Source organism: Homo sapiens, chromosome 13 (genome assembly GCF_000001405.40).
Source record: "Homo sapiens chromosome 13, GRCh38.p14 Primary Assembly".
NCBI lineage: Eukaryota > Metazoa > Chordata > Mammalia > Primates > Hominidae > Homo > Homo sapiens.
This window is the reverse complement of record NC_000013.11, coordinates 38,018,943-38,036,160: the sequence shown is the minus strand read 5'-3', so window position 1 is coordinate 38,036,160 and position 17,218 is coordinate 38,018,943. Positions and strand designations below refer to the sequence as shown.

At 34.4% G+C, this 17,218-nt stretch overlaps 1 long non-coding RNA gene across 2 annotated transcripts in view; it reads right to left on the bottom strand.

Annotated features, from left to right (window-relative positions):
• Window positions 1-17,218, bottom strand: part of LINC02334 (long intergenic non-protein coding RNA 2334) — a 131,124-nt gene that overhangs the window by 29,411 nt on the left and 84,495 nt on the right. For both annotated transcript variants that reach the window (XR_941880.4, XR_941877.3), the window contains exon 3: window positions 6,470-6,512. This is a non-coding gene — a long non-coding RNA (long intergenic non-protein coding RNA 2334). The remainder of the gene's footprint in view (window positions 1-6,469; window positions 6,513-17,218) is intronic.

The window sequence follows — 17,218 nt, the reverse complement described above, 5'->3', positions numbered from 1 at the left end:
ATATATATATAGACACATACATATAAAGTGTGTGTGTGTAATATATAAAGTTCTATGTGTGTGAACTATATATATTACACACACTTTATATATATGTATGTATGTATATATGTATGTATATATGTATATACATATATACACGTGTATATATATACATACATACACGTGTATGTGTGTATGTATATATGTATATATATAAAATATGTGTGTGTTATATATATATATTTCATATACTTCATATATATATATAAAGTATCTGTGTGTGTAATATATACGCACATACTTTTTCCTCCCCATCTCTGATTTGAGTGTGTGTGTATGTGTGTGTGTATATATATATATTTATTATTTGAGTATATATAGTGTGCATATATACACACACAGCTTATTGAGATATAATCCACATACCATACAGTTCATATATTTAAATGGTACTATTCAGTAGTTTTTAGTATCTATAACTTTTATTGTTTTATTTATTTACTTTTTTGAGATGGAGTCTCACTCTGTCACCCAGGCTGGAGTGCAGTGGCATGATCTCAGCTCACTGCAGCCTGTGACTCGTGGGTTCAAGCGATTCTCCTGCCTCAACCTCTCAAGTAGCTGGGAAATACAGGCATGTGCAGCCACACCTGGCTAATTTTTTTTTTTTTTTTTTTTTTTGGTAGATACAGGCATTTCACCGTGTTGCCCAGGCTGGTCTCGAACTCCTGAGCTCGAACGCCTGCCTCGGCCTCCCAGAGTGCTAGGATTGCAGGTGCGAGTATATTCTCAGAGGTGTACAAACAGAATCAAAATCAAAATCAATTTTAGCACATTTCATCACCCAAAAAATAAACCTTCTACCCATTAGCAGTGACTCCCCACTTAACACTCAACATCAGCCCCAGCCCTAGGCAAGAGCAAATCTACTTCCTGTCTTATATTTTTCCTTTCTGGATATTTCATATGAGTAGAATCTTACAATATATGCTCTTTTGCGACTGGCTTCTTTCACTTAGCATAATGTTTTCAAGCTTCATCTATCTTGTAACATGCATGCGTACTTCATTTCCTTTTATTGAATAATATTCCATTGTATGGGTAGACCACATTTTTAATCAGTTGTTCAGTTGATAAATATCTGAGTTGTTTCCATTTTTTGACTATTATAAGTAATGCTGTTTTGAATATTTATACACAAGTTTTTGTGAGAACTTGTGTTTCTATTCCTATTGAGAATATTTAGAAGTGGAATGACTGATATATAAGGTAACTGTATTTTTAATTTTTGCAGAATTGCCAGACTTTTCCAAAGTGATTGAATCATTTTATATTCCCACCAGCAGTATATGAGAGTTCCAATTTTGTTCACCATCTCCAACACATTGATTGTTATTTGTCCTTTTGATTATAGCCATTCTAGTATGCGCAAAGTGGTATCTCACTGTGGTTTTATGTTACTCTGATGACTCCTATTGTGGAGCACTTTTTTATTTGCTTTCTGACTGTTTGTATATCTCATTGAGGAAATATTTATTCAGATATTTTGCCTATTTTAAAATTTGATTATATATCTACTTTTTTATTGAGTTGTAAGTTGCTTATATATTCTAGATACAAGTCCCTTATCAGATATAGGATTTGCAAATATTTTCTCCCATTCTCTTGTGTTTTTCCCTTTTGGGATGGTGTCCTTTGGAGCACAAGATGACACCTACTTTTACAAGTTGCATTTTATACATGATCTATGTATGAATATAAGACGCTAAGGGAGTGAAATAGACTGCATTTCTCCTATAGGATTGAGAGCTGAGAACTAAGAATTTCATGGCATTCAAGTCAGAACACAAAAGTTAATAGTCATTCATCACAGAACATGGATGTAATAACCTTCAAAATTAATATAGTATAATCCATTATGGCTGAAGTGTAGAATAATATTTCAAACCTAAAAATGTATGTATATGTTTATGATTAATATATGATACAGTAAATATATATGTGTGTGTATATATATGCATACACACATACACACACACAAACACATGAGTTGACCATAGACCCACATAGTATTAATTGAGAATTAGCTGACACAAAGAGACAAAGGACAAAAAACACACAGCAAGAAGCCTTAAATGTCTCTGCTAGAGATACTCTCACTAGGTGTCTTTGTCAAGACCAACACAATTTTATGAAGTCAAGAAAGCTATTTACTAAAAATTAAACTGGATTTATTTGCTTGTTTTCTAGGTTTAAGTAACACCTTTTCTTTTCCAGCTCTGATTTATTTGAGTGCAAATACTTCAGTATTCAATTTGAAGGGGTGGAAATAAACCAGGAAAGAATAAGTAGCAAGAACACCTTGATTTCTTATCCTTTTAAGGTGTCTTTATTCTCTTAGCTTTATTATTATTAGAGGCATGTGGATCTAAAATTACCTAACAATGTAGTTAGGTTCCAGCTAATTGTCAGATACTACTACCTTGAATTAATTGCTTCTAATATTGATTGATATTCAGCTTAGAGAAAGAAATATGTAAAGAAGTATATGTTGTCCATTATTTTTCTCATATATTATAAAATATATAATTTGATTAACTCCTACTAACCAAGATCAGGTTATCCAGACTATAATTCATTGGCAGGCACATTTTTTTTAACTGAATTGTATCTTTGAAGTATCCTGCCTACATTGAGGGTTACTATAAGACAGGCCTAATATATGTGTCTGTATGTGTTCTGGAAAGACCTTTAAGTAGGGATGTGCTAGTCAACATTTGACAACTAGCTTTCTAGGGGACAAAAATCCCTTCTATGCAGCATTTGCCAATCCCCATGGTGTAAATTCTTCCACGCTGGCTAATTTCAAGATATCAATGTGACCTCACTGGACTCAAGGTTGAGAAGACATGCCCACAAATGTATCACATTGCATGGTTTAAGCTAGAGCGAATCAGCTCCTGAATATCACTGCCTGCAGAATGAGCATACTTCTCTAGAATGATGGCTTCTTTTACCTTGTGGATAACAGCGACTTGCATCCTGGATCAAATTTTATTTATCGTATTTGTGCTACAAAGCTTAGAGCCAAACTGAAAGCTAATTTAAAGTAATATATGTATGTTTTCGTGTTTTTGTTGCCTCATTTCTAGATCTATTTGATCTTAACTCAATCCTTGTTTTATTTTTTTAGTTTTGTTTTGTTTTCAGAGATAGGGTCTCACTCTGTAGCCCAAGCTGGAGTATAGTACCATGATCATGTCTCACTGCAGCTTCAAACTCCTGGGCTTGAGCAATCCTCCTCCCTCAGCCTCCCCAGTAGCTGGGAGTATAGATGTGCCCCACCATGCCTGGCCTTGTTTTTATTTCTTTTATTCCTATTCTTAAAGTTCATTCCATCCTTTAAAATTTATAAGCTATATCAATTATTTTCTAGAAAGAGTCATAATAGACTTAAATAAATGAATAATCCTTGGACAGCTTCAGACACAGAGTGGGAATTAAAAACGAATTACTAAAATATCTTATGGCGGCCGGGCGCGGTGGCTCACGCCTGTAATCCCAGCACTTTGGGAGGCCGAGGCGGGCGGATCACGAGGTCAGGAGATCGAGACCACGGTGAAACCCCGTCTCTACTAAAAATACAAAAAATTAGCCGGGCGCAGTGGCGGGCGCCTGTAGTCCCAGCTACTCGGGAGGCTGAGGCAGGAGAATGGCGTGAACCCGGGAGGCGGAGCTTGCAGTGAGCGGAGATCGCGCCACAGCACTCCCGCCTGGGCGACAGAATGAGACTCCGTCTCAAAAAAAAAATATATATATATATATATATATCTTATGGCTAAAAGTGAAAGAAAAAGGGGTTGCATATTAACTCCACTTCCATCTGGGCAGGAGCAATTTGCTTCCCTCTCTGGCCCTCAGTATTCTTACCTATGTAATTAGGTATATCAGGAAAAGCTCTAATACTATTCAAATTATCCATAATTTTGTCACTTCAAAAGCCACTGGTTCATTGTAAAACTACATTGCATTGATATTTAGCACAGTTTAAATAAACTATGTAGTTTCATGCTATGTTCAAATGATTTTAATGTACTCAATTTTAACTTTTGCAGACTGCTATTGGCTCACTGGTGTTGACAGGCAAACTTGTAGCTACATGTTATTAGCTCTTTATAAAATGACATTTCATCTGTAGGCAGAGTAAAAAATTTTGAATTTTATGCATGAAAAGACTGATAGCTGGCACAATTATTAATTTCTGCAGGCTTCCTGTTGGTGGTATATGATTTGGAAAAGACATTTGCATTTACAGTCTAATACAAAAATGATTCTATCCTGTCAGTTAATTTTGGAAAGCAAAATACTTTAAGCAACTCTACTTTAATAGTCCTAGTTCCCAGGGATATGTTAGCAATTCATATGAGCAGATGGCTATGGCCTGGTAGAAAGTGTTCTGGGACTGTCAGAACTTGTACTTGAATTACAGCTATGCTTTACTAACCACTTGACCTTAGAGAAGGTATGAAATAATCTAAGCCTTAATTTTGTGTTGTAAAATGGGCAAATCCATTCAATTTTCAGGACTGATTTGGAGATCAAATGAATTAATAGAGTTAATATTCTTAGCATAGTTCTAACTTGGCAAATGCAGATATTTGTGACAATCCCCTCCCTGGTCTTTTCATATGTTCTTTAGTGCAGAATTGCTCAGTCATATTCAAGGGTTTGTTTTAAATCAAATGGCAAGGAAATCAATTGTTTCTTCCCAAATTCCTTAGTGCATGACTTATCTCACTAGAACAAATTTAGGTAAAATATTCCAGTGATAGGTATCTCAATGAGGAAAAAACATCAAATAATTGTTATAACAGGCAAGGCCTACAAGTATTCTGAATTAAAAAGGTTGATTAGTTCTGTTTTTTTCTACTGCTTAACTACATGAAAATCACATTTTTAATAATCTCACTTCTGGGAAATATAGTGATGTACTTCAAAATTTGGAAATAATTACCTTACATTCTGATTCCATATTGTAAGAAGACATAAAATAGATGTTCTTAGAAGTCAGATACAAGGAAAAAGGAAGGAAAGAAAATCCTTTATAAATTTTTATGAATCATATGTTCAAAATAAATCTTACTGTGGAAGATATTTTCATCACCTTATTTTAAAAATGTGTTGAAGAAGGAAAGTGAACTTGTGATAATATCATTTAAATGCATTTATGGGGCATAAAATAAGCCTAATAAGAAACTAAAGTTACTGGATTTTTACTTTTAATTAGAAGCAGTTGAATTTAAATTCCAGATAAAGAAAGCATAAGCAGTGCAATGTTTGTCAGCTAAAAGACCATAATAACTAAGTTTGAAATTGATTTCTCATCTGTCTGTTTCAAAACATACAACATAGAAATTACCATGAACTATATAATGTATGTGTCGGGGGTGGAGGTGGGACTCTGGGAAAAGGGTGGACCGTGGAATAATATTAAAACACAACAGGGCCAGGCGCAGTGGCTCACGCCTGTAATCCCAGCACTCTGGGAGGCCGAGGCGGGCAGATCACCTGGGGTAGGGAGTTTGAGATGAGCCTGACCAACATGGAGCAATCTCGTCTCTACTAAAAATACAAAATTAGCCAGGCCTGGTGGCACATGCCTGTAATCCCAGCTACTCAGAGGGCTGGGGCAGGAGAATCACTTGAACCTGGGAGGTGAAGGTTGCAGTGCACTCCAGCCTGGGCAACAAGAGTGAAATTTCATCTCAAAACCAAAACAAAACAAAAACCACAATAAAGTATCTTTTTATAAATATAAGTAAAATCTAGGAATATAGAGGGCTAATTACCAACTTTATCTTGCAGTATATTGTATGTTAGCTTATAAGACAATATTTACATATGGACTTTACAGCTCATAATTATTATTACTACTAGTATATTTATAGTAACATCTATAAATTATTAATGCAGAATAGATTCTGTTTTAAAACTCTCAATAGCCATTATGTCTGTTTCCATATACATATTCATATATTTGATCTCTGATTTTCAACCTGAGTGTTTCAATACCCTTCAATGTGTAGAGAAAGGAATAAAATTGCTCCCATCTCTCCCATGTTCTTAAGTTTACTTGAGCCTCTGGCCAGATACCAGTCTACCGGTACTTTAGGTTATGGGGTGCCTGGGGTATTACCTGGTTTATTTCAACTAAGAACACATATCATGCTGTATCTCCCACGTACCCAGGAATGCAGCTGGAAATGCTATGGGAATGCAGGGGAACTATATGTTCCCCTGTGGGTCTCTGCATCCTTCCCCTCTACCCTTTCAGAATTGTGTGAACTGAGCAGCTTTGCTCCTGGGACTAATAACTACTCTGACTGATATTTAATTTGTTGTTTTCTTCTAAGGTAATTACACCAGTACATAGTAGTTACTGTCACCTAAATTTTTTTTTAAAAGATTGGAGAAGACAGCACCTTACTTTTCTTGTCTCTGTGACAACGTCTGTAAGATCCATTTGCAAGCTGTACAAAGACAAAAAGATATCATTATTAAATGTTTATACCATATAGTCCAACATTTGTATGTAACTTTAGGTACAAATATGTTTATTATTTGATGAGCTTGTCTCAGTGCCAGCTGTCACTAAAAGAAGGAGAAAAGAGGAAATAGTGGGTAGGATACAATTGAGGGCTTCACATTTAACGATTATTCCCATCTGCTTTCAGAACAACTTTTCTCAAAGAGAATGTGGAGACTAGAAAATAACTGGCAAATTTATTCTTGTAAAATAATTTCTTTTTTTGTTTATTTTGTCTGTTTGATCACAAACAAGAGCATGGCATGTGAAATACTTTCTACCAGTGGTTACATAATTAAATAGTCAGCTATTGAAAAAAGTATGAAATATTGATTTGAAAGACACTTTTCACCAAGCACTGTTCTAGACATTAGAAAGATGGTAAAAAATAATGTAGATACATGTTCTGCTTTCATGGAGTTAACATTCTCATGGGATATACAGCTATGCAGCTGAACTTTGGATTGCGATGAACCTTCTACAGTATGCCCCATGCTGAATTTAAGTACTTTTGACCTGACCAGTATGTTTGGTTAAAACTCTGTGATATGGTTTGGATTCAAGTCTCCACTCAAATCTCATGTCAAATTTTAATCCTCAATGTTGGAGGAAGGGCCTGGTGGGAGGTGACTGGATCATGGGGGTGGATTTCCCCATTGCTGTCCTGTGATAGTGACTGAGTTCTCAAGAGATCTGGCTGTTTAAAAGTGTGTCTCTCTCTTTCTCCTGATACTGCCATATAAGACATGCCTCCTTCCTGTTCGCTTTCCCCATGGTTGTAAGAACTGATGGCAATCCTACTCAAAGTATTTGGAAAAATAGAGGAGGAAGGAATACCTCCAAATTCATTCTATAAGGCCAGTATTATCCTGATACCAAAAGTAGACAAACATGAAGAAGGAAAACTACAGGCAAATATATCTGATAAGTACTGATGCAAAAATCCTCAACAAAATACTAGCAAACTGAATTCATAAACATATTAGAAAGGTCATTTACCATGACCAAGTGGGATTTATATCTATGATACAAGGATGGTTCAACATACATAAATCAATCAATGTGATACATCATATCACCAGAATGAAGGATAAAAACCATATGATTATTTCAATTGGTGCTGAAATAACATTGGATAAAATTCAATATCTCAAAAACTGGGTATAAAAGGAAAATATTTCAACATAATAAAATCCACTTACGACAGACCCACAGCTGGCATCATACTGAATGGAAAGAAACTGAAAGCCTTTCTTCTAAGATCTGGAACATGACAAAGATGCCCACTTTTAACTGTTATTCAACATAGTACTGGAATTTCTATTTAGAGGAATCAGACAAGAGAAAGAAATAAAGACATCCAAACTGAAAAGGAAGAAGTCAAATTACCCTTGTTTGGAAATGATATGATCTTATATTTGGAAAAACCTAAAGACTTCATAAGAAAATATTGGAGCTGATAAACATATTCAGTAAATTTGCAGGATACAAAATCAACATATACAAATCAGTAGCATTTCTGTATGCCAACAGTGATCTGAAAAAGAAATAAAAAACATAATCCTATTTACAATAGCCATAATTAAAATTAAATACCTAGAAGTCATTTAAAACAAAGGGTGAAAGATCTCTGTAATGAAAACTATAAAACAGTGATGAAAGAAATTGAAGAGGACACCAAAAAATTAACAGAGATTCCATGTTCATGGATTAGCAGTCTACCAAAGCAGTCTAAAGATTTAATTCAATCCCTATCAAAATACCAATGGCATTCTTCACAGAAATAGAAAAAAAATCCTAAAATGTATATGGAATCCCAAATTCTCAAATGGCCAATGCTATCCTAAGCAAAAAGAACAAAACTAGAGGAGTCACATTACCTGATTTCAACTTATACTACAGAGCTATAGTAAACAGAACAGCATGATACTGGCATAAAAACAGAAACACAGACCAATGGAACAGATAGAGAACCCAGAAACAAATCCACACACCTACCATAAACTCATTTTTGACAGGAGTACCAAGAACATACACTGGGAAAAAGACAGTCTTTTCAATAAATGGTGCTGGGAAAACTTGATATCCATAAGAAAAAGAATGACACTAGATCCCTATCCCTCACCATGTACAAAAATCAAATCAAAATGAATTGAAAACTTAAACCTAAGACCTCAAACTATGAAGCTACTACAAGAAAACATTGGGAGGGTCAGGCATGGAGGCTCCTGCCTGCAGTTCCAGCACTTTGGGAGGCAGAGGCAGAATTCCTTGAACCTAGGAGTTCAAGATCAGCCTGGGCAATGTGGTGAGATTTGGTCTCTACAAAAAATACAAAAATTAGTTGGGCATGATGGCATGTGACTGTAGTCCCAGCTACTCAGAAGGCTGAGGAGGGAGGGTTGCTTCAGCCTGGGAGGTCAATGCTGCGGTGAGCTATGATCCTGCCACTGCACTCCTGCCTGGGCAACAGAGCAAGACCTTCACAAGAAATATTAAAAAAAAAAAGAAAGAGAGAGAGAAAGGAAACATTGAGGAAAGTTTCCAGGACATTTGTCTGGGCAAACATTTCTTGAGCAATACCCCACGAGCACAGGGAACCAAAGGAAAAATAAACAGATGGGATCACATCAAGTTGAAAAGCTTCTGCACAGCAAAGGATACAATCAACAAAGTGAAGAAACAACCCACAGAATGGAAGAAAATATTCGCAAACTACCCATCTGACAAGGGATTAATAACCAGGGTATATAAAGAGCTCAAACAATGCTATAGGTAAACATCTAATAATTAGATAAAACATGGGCAAAAGATTCAAATAGACATTTCTTAGAAGAACACACACAAATGACAAACAGGCATATGAAAAGGTGCTCAACCTCACTAGTCATCAGAGAAATTCAATCACAACTACAATGAGATATCTGACCCCAGTTAAAATGACTTATATCCAAAAGATGAGCCAAGACAAATGCGGGCAAGGATGGAGAGAAAAGGGAACCCCCATACACTGTTGGTGGGAATGTAAATTAAAACAACCACTACGGAGAACAGTTTGGAGGTTCCTCAAAAAACTAAATATAGAGCTGCCATATGATCCAACAATCCCACTGCTGGGTATATACCCAAAAGAAAAATCAGTATATCACAGAGGTATCTGCACTCCCATGTTTGTTGTAGCACTGTTTATAATAGCTAAGATTTGGAAGCAACCTAAGTGTCCATCAACAGATGAACATATAAAGAAAATGTGGTAAATATACACAATGGAGGACTAGTTCACCGCAAAAAAAGAATGAGATCCAGTCATTTGTAACAACATGAATGTAACTAGATGTTAAATGAAATAAGCCAGGCACAGAAAGACAAACATCACATGTTCTCACTTATTTTGGGATGTAAAAATCAAAGCAATTGAACCCAGGGACATAAAGAGTAGAAGGATGCTGTCCAGAGGCTGAGAAGGATAGTAGGGGGTTTGGGAGGTGGTAGGGATGGTTGATGGATACAAAAAAAAAAAAAAACAGAAAGAATGAGTGAAACCTAAGATTTGATAGCAAAACAGGATGACTGTAGTCAATAATAAACTATATATTAAAAAATAACTAAAAGAGTTTAATTGGATTGTTTGTAATGCAAAGGATAAATGCTTGAAGGGATGGGTACTCATTTTCCATGATGTGATTATGACACATTGCATACCTGTATCAAAATATCTCATGTATCCCATAAATATATATGCTTACTATGGACACACAAAAATTAAAAATAAAAGAAATCTTAAAGTGCATACAACAGTATCTGACACATATCAAACAAGTTGTAAATTCTAGCTATTGTTTTTGCTGTTATTTCTTTAAAGTATAATGATTATAGATTTCTATCTATTTTCTTCTGTTAATAGATAAATAAGGTATAGTTTATGGTAAGTAAGAGAGACATGGATTTATATATTTATATCATCTCATGCAATATGGCATTCTGAAAATGTAGTATTAAAATGTATTGGCAGATAATCTACCTGGGCCTCATATTTATTATTATTAGATAGATAATAGTATTCATTAAGCAAGAGAAAACAACCATGATGGAAAACAATTACAGATAATGAGATGATTAAGGACATATTTATTTTGCGCCACCTGAGGCACTGTAGAGTTTTAATAGTTGGATAGTGGGTCTTGAACTTAGGAGAAAAAGACTTAAGGTGTAAGATTAGAAATACTAGCTCTACCCTTTGCCAATTGTTTGATCTAGAACATGATTATTCATTTCTGAATCTCAGTTTTATACTCTTAAAAATAAATGGAACAGATAACTAATGAGATACTATATGTGAAGTTGGCTAGCACTGCACCTGAGGTTTTAGTTATATCCTTTGTCTTTCTTTCCATTTCATTCCTCCTCTTCTCTTTCCCATACCATATAGTGTAACCATCATTGGTGTTAGAGACAAAAATAATTTCTTTTAAATCCTGATTCCATCACTTATTAATAATGTGACCTTTACTTAAACTCCAGGAAATTTTGTTTTATCATCAACTATAAAGTAAGCATGCAACCATGTGTTGGTTTTGCCAGGATTAAGTAAAGATTTAATTATTGTTTAGTATTTATTACTATGATTTTAATAATATGCCAGGAAAATACAAGGTGATTGTACAATGGTAACTTTCATTTTTTTTCTTTTTATCATTTCTATTTTCTATATGTATTTTTTCTTATTTATTTTTAAATAAGAAATATTTTAAAATGTATTTTTAATTGTATTTAAGAAATATTTTAAAATGCATTTTACTTTTTTAAATATTTGAGAAAATGTAAAATACATACACTTCAGGATTCTACATAAGATCTTGATTTTAGTGTTTGTCTGTTATATACTTTTGTGTGGGCTTTCTATTATTGATGCTGGCAAAGCTTGTCCAAATGTGGCTTTCTACTAGTAAATGAAGGCAACATAAAGTGTTATGCATGACTCACTTGGCTGACACACTTTCTTATTTGTTTGAATAAAAAGAAAAACCCTTCAGCGAGATTAAAATGTTGATTAGAGTGAAATCTAAGGATTTCTGAATTCCAAATTTATGTGATCCTTTCTTCTAATCCTTTCTTTAACTGCCTCCAAGCTTTGAACACCATAAAATGTACTTTAAAAAGCGAACAATACCAAATAATTATTTTATTTTAATATTGATGAATAATGATATTTCTAATATCATATAAATCAGAAAAATTAGTTTTTTTAATTCAACAACTCATTCTGTTAAGCTTGCTATTTTTTTCTTCACCTATAAAGCATGAATAATATCCTCCCTTGGTTACCTCTTTGGATTAGTGGAATGATGAAATAATCCATATATAATTTTAAAACCCATAAATTAGTAAGTTATTGCTAGTAATACTCCAAGAAAATATGAAAATAGAAGCAATTAACACATTAAAAGTTAACAAGTTATTCTGTTGTATAGCTGACAAATATCTGCTGCTATTAAATAATGAATATGATGCAGCAGAGTTTTTAATGCTTTTTTTAACCCTAAAAGTAAATTTTCTAGAAAAAATACCAGCTATGTGAGTTTTAGAATATTAAAGATATTCTTGGAAGAGGAAATGTGAATGCTTGTTGAAAAATAAGATTGTTGGCAGTTCGTTGTCAAAAAAGCTTAAAATTCCAAAGTGTCTACCAGTTGTATAGTACTAAAATAAACCTATCCTTGTTTTTTTCAAAATTTTATCAATAACCATGCAGCTGGGAACTGCACAAGCTAAATTAAATCAACATATTGGAAGAAAAGGAGTTGATGATGACAGTAATCACTGAGTATTTAAGTGATGTAAAGGCTGAGAAGCAAATAAAAGAGTGGGGGGACGGGAGAGATAAAATAAATCATAAACAGCAGATAGTTTATAACTAGGGCAAGCCAGTAGCTTTAATGAACATTTTCCATAAAATAGCATGACAAATGATGCTTAAAATATTGTGCATACAATTAATTATGCAGCTTCTCTTTTTTACCCAGTGGATAACATACTGAATTTATAATTTTATTATTTCAAACTAATAGGTTTTGTACATAATTATGACAAATACCTTTAAGGTTTTTATGAGATGTCAGTACTAGTTATGATTAAGAGCTATAAAATGACTGCAATATAGGTTGGTTTCAAGTGTAATTTCTAAACTAGCCAATGTTTTCAAGAATAATTTATTATTAAATTCTAAGGCAATTACTTATTAACCATTAAAAATAAAAAATAAATTATATATTCAACTCAGGAAGCTAGAGAAAAGTGTTTTTTTTTTTTTTTTTTTTGAGACGAGTCTCATTCTGTCACTCAGGCTGGAGTGCACTGGTACAATCTCGGCTCACTTTAATCTCCACCTCCCAGGTTCAAGAGATTCTTCTGCCTCAGCCTCTCGAGTAGCTGGGACTACAGATGTGTGCCACCACACCCAGCTAATTTTTGTGTTTGTAGTAGAGACAGGGTTTTACTATGGTGGCCAGGCTGGTCTCAAACTCCTGACCTCAAGTGATCTGCCTGCCTCAGCCTCTCAAAGTGCTGGTATTACAGGCGTGAGCCACTGCGGCTGGTGGAGAAAAGATTTTTTAATTAAGAAATTTAATATCAAAAGTAAACAAGATATTTCTAAATAATATATAAGGAAATAAGTGAAGCAGAAGAGAAACTAGAAAATATTTTTAATTAAATAATATTAAAAATGTAGTCTCAAACTTTCTAAGGTACAACAAAGCAGTGCTTTGTAATAAATGTAGATAGATTTAAACACTCAAATGCAAAGCAAACCCTAAATACATAGAAAAAATAAAATAAGAATAAAGAAAATTAAGAAATGTGGTTCCATGAAAGAACAATAAAATTGATAAGCTCATAGCTGGATAGATCACAAATTACCAGTTTTATTAATGAAAGGAAGGAACATTATAAAAAATAGCACAGGCATTAAAATGATTATTAAAAAATTTGAAAAATAATTTTTGGACAATGAATTTAACAACTTAGATGAAAAAAATTCTTAAAAACACAACATGCAAAACTGACACAATATTAGTGAGAAAATGAAAGTATCCCTGTGTCTCTTAAGGAAATTGAATGTGTTACAAAGTCCTTTCAATAAAGTAAACTTGAGAGGGGAGGCGCTTCAAGATGGCTGACTACAGACATCTGGTAGTAGCCTCCTCTGCAAAGACAAACCAAATAATTAATAGATAATAACACTTTGAATACACCACCTAAAAAAAATGCTGGAATTCAACAAAGGAATGACAGGAAACACCTAAGGTGAAAAAGGAAAGGGAAATAAGCCAGTCTACTCCAGCTGTATTGGCTGGGAGACTGAAAAGACTCACCAGTGTGCAGAAAGGGTAAATGAGTGACTCCCACAGCAGTCTACATTCCCACCACAGACCCCTGCAATCCAAGCCATGGAAGAGCTCCTCAACTTATGATCCACATAGGTTTTGAAACTAAGACGGAGCACTGCCTGAAGACTGAGCAACAGCATTACTCCAGAGAAGGAGCACACGTTCTTTCGAAATAATTGAATTAGACAAATATTAAGAGGAATAAAAAAGGAGGAACAGTGTCTATGTGACATAAGGAACAACATAAAGTAACCAAATATTTAAATTTTCAGAGTCCCAGAAGGCAGAAAGGAAACAAACGTTGGAGAAAACATTAATTTTAACATTTCTCAAGTCTAACAAGAGATTTAGACATTCAGATACAGGAAGCTCAGAGATCCCCAAACTGATATAATATAAAAAGTTGTTCTTTACAGCACATTGTAGTCAAACTATCAAAAGTGAAAGACAAAGTGAGAATTCTTTTGTAAATTCTACAAGAAAAACTATATAGTCACTTATAATGGAACCCCCATCAGACTAAGTGAGTTTCTCAGTAGAAAATTTATAGGCCACGGGAGAATTAAATAATATATTCAAAGTGCTGAAAGAAGAAAACTGCCAGCAAGGGATACTATACCCAGCAAAGCTACTTTTTATAAATGAAGGACAAATAAAGTTTTTCTCTGACAAGCAAAAGCTGAAGTAATTCATCACCACTAGACTGGACCCACAAGAAATGCTTGAGGGATCTGTACATGTGGAATTAAAAGGAGTATGTCTGTATCACAAAAACACATAAAAGTATAAAACCCCACTGGTAGAAAAAAAGACACAAATGAGGAAGATAAAGGTCTCAAATGTTACCAGCACAGAAAAACACCACACCAAAAAAATAAACAATAAAAAAGAAATGAACAAAAGGACAACCAGGGGTGAAGAAAACAACCAGGTATCAATTAATGAAATGGTAAGAATAAGCCCTCACATATCAATAAGAACCTTGAATGTAAATGGATTAAACTGCCCACTTCGAAGATATAGACTGGCTGAATGGATAAAAGAAAATAATATGACCCAACTATATGCTGCCTATAAGACACTCATCGTGGCTGCAAAGACACATGTAGAATAAAATTAAAGGAATGGAAAAAGATATTCCATGCTAAGAGAAACCAAAAGTGAGTAGGAGTAGCTACACTTATATCAGATAAAACAGACTTTAAGTCAAAAACAGTAAAAAGAGACAAAGAAGGTCATATATAATGTTAGACATCAGTTCAGCAAGAGGATACAATTCTAACCATACATGAACCCAACACTGGAGCACCCAGATATGTAAAGCAAATATTAGATCCAAAGGGAGTGATAGACTCTTGTACTATATGTATTTGGGGGCTTCACCACACAACTCTCAGCGTTAGACAGATCATTTAGACAGAAAATTAACAAAGAAATATTGGATTTAAACTGCCCCAAAGGACCTAACAGGTACAGAGCACTTCATTTAACAGCTACATAATACATGTTCCATCACATGGAACATTCTTCAGATAGTTTACATTTTAGAAGACAAAACAAGTCTCAACAAGTTTTTAAAAATCAAAATCACAAGTTCTTTTCAGACCGCAATATAATAAAACATCCATAATAAGAGGACATCAATAACAAGACATCAGTAACAAGGGAAACTTTGGAAACTATACGAATATATGGAAATTAAATAACATCTTCCTATATGATCATTGGGTCAAGGAAGAAATTAAGGAGAAAATTTTTAAAACATTTTTGAAACAAATGAAAACCAAAATACAACATACCAAACCCAATGGGATACAGCAAAAAGCAGCATTTAAAGTAATGCTTATAGCAATAAATGCCTACATCGAAAAAGTAGAAACATTTTACATAATCTTACAGTTCTTCTCAAGAAACTACAAAACAAGAAAAAAACAAAGCCAAAGTTAAAAGAAGGAAAGAAATAATAAAGACCAGAGCAGAACTAAATGCAATAGAGACTAAGAAGCAACACAAATTATCAACAAATGAAAATTTGGGGTTTTTAAAAAAATTACATAAAGTCGATAAACTGCTAGCTATACTAACCAAAAATAAAGACTCAAACAATATCAGAAATGAAAAATGAGACATTATAACTGATGCCACAGAAATACAAAAGATTATCAGGGACTATTATGAACAACTACACACTAATAAACTGAAAAAACTACAGGAAATTGATAAATTCCTGGATATATACAACCTACCAAGATTAAAGCAAGAAGAAACAGAAAACCTGAACCGAATTATGAGTAATGATATTGAATCAGCTATAAAAGTGTCCCGACAAATAAAAGTCCAGGATCGAATGGCTGCCAAATTCTACCAGACTTTCAAAGAAAAACTAACACCAATTCTCCTCAAAGTATTTTTGAAAACATATGGAGGATGGAATTCTCCCTAACTTATTCTAAGAGGCCAGCATTACCCTGATACCAAAACCAGACAAAAATACAACAACAACAAAAATTACAGGCTAATATTCCTGATCAATATAGACACGAAAATCCTCAATAAAATATGAGAAAGCCAAATCCAGCAGCACATCAAATAGATAGCACAGTATGATCACGTAGAATTTATCCCAGGGATACAAGGATGATTCGACCTATGCAAATCAATAAACATGATACGTCACAACAACAGAATGAAGGACATAAATCATATGAACATATCAACATGCCCAAAGAAAGCATTTGACAAAATTCAACATCCTTTCACATTAAAAACTATCAAGAAACTAGAAGAAACATACTTCAACATAATTAAGGCTATATATGATAAATCCACTGCTAACATCATATCGAATGGGGAAAAGCTGAAAGTCTCTTTTTCTATTTATTTATTTATTTATTTATTTATTTATTTATTTTTTGAGACAGAGTCTCGCTCTGTCGCCCAGGCTGGAGTGCAGTCGTGCGATCTCGGCTCACTGCAAACTCCGCCTCCCGGGTTCATGCCATTCTCCTGCCTCAGCCTCCTGAGTAGCTGGGACTACAGGCGCCCGCCACCACGCCTGGCTAATTTTTTGTATTTTGTAGTAGAGATGGGGTTTCACCGTGTTAGCCAGGATGGTCTTGATCTCCTGACCTCGTGATCTGCCCTCCTGGGCCTCCCAAAGTGCTGGGATTACAGGCATGAGCCACCGCGCCCGGTCAGCTGAAAGTCTCTCATTTCAGAACTCAGACAACATAAAGATGTCCATTTTCACCACTTCTACTCA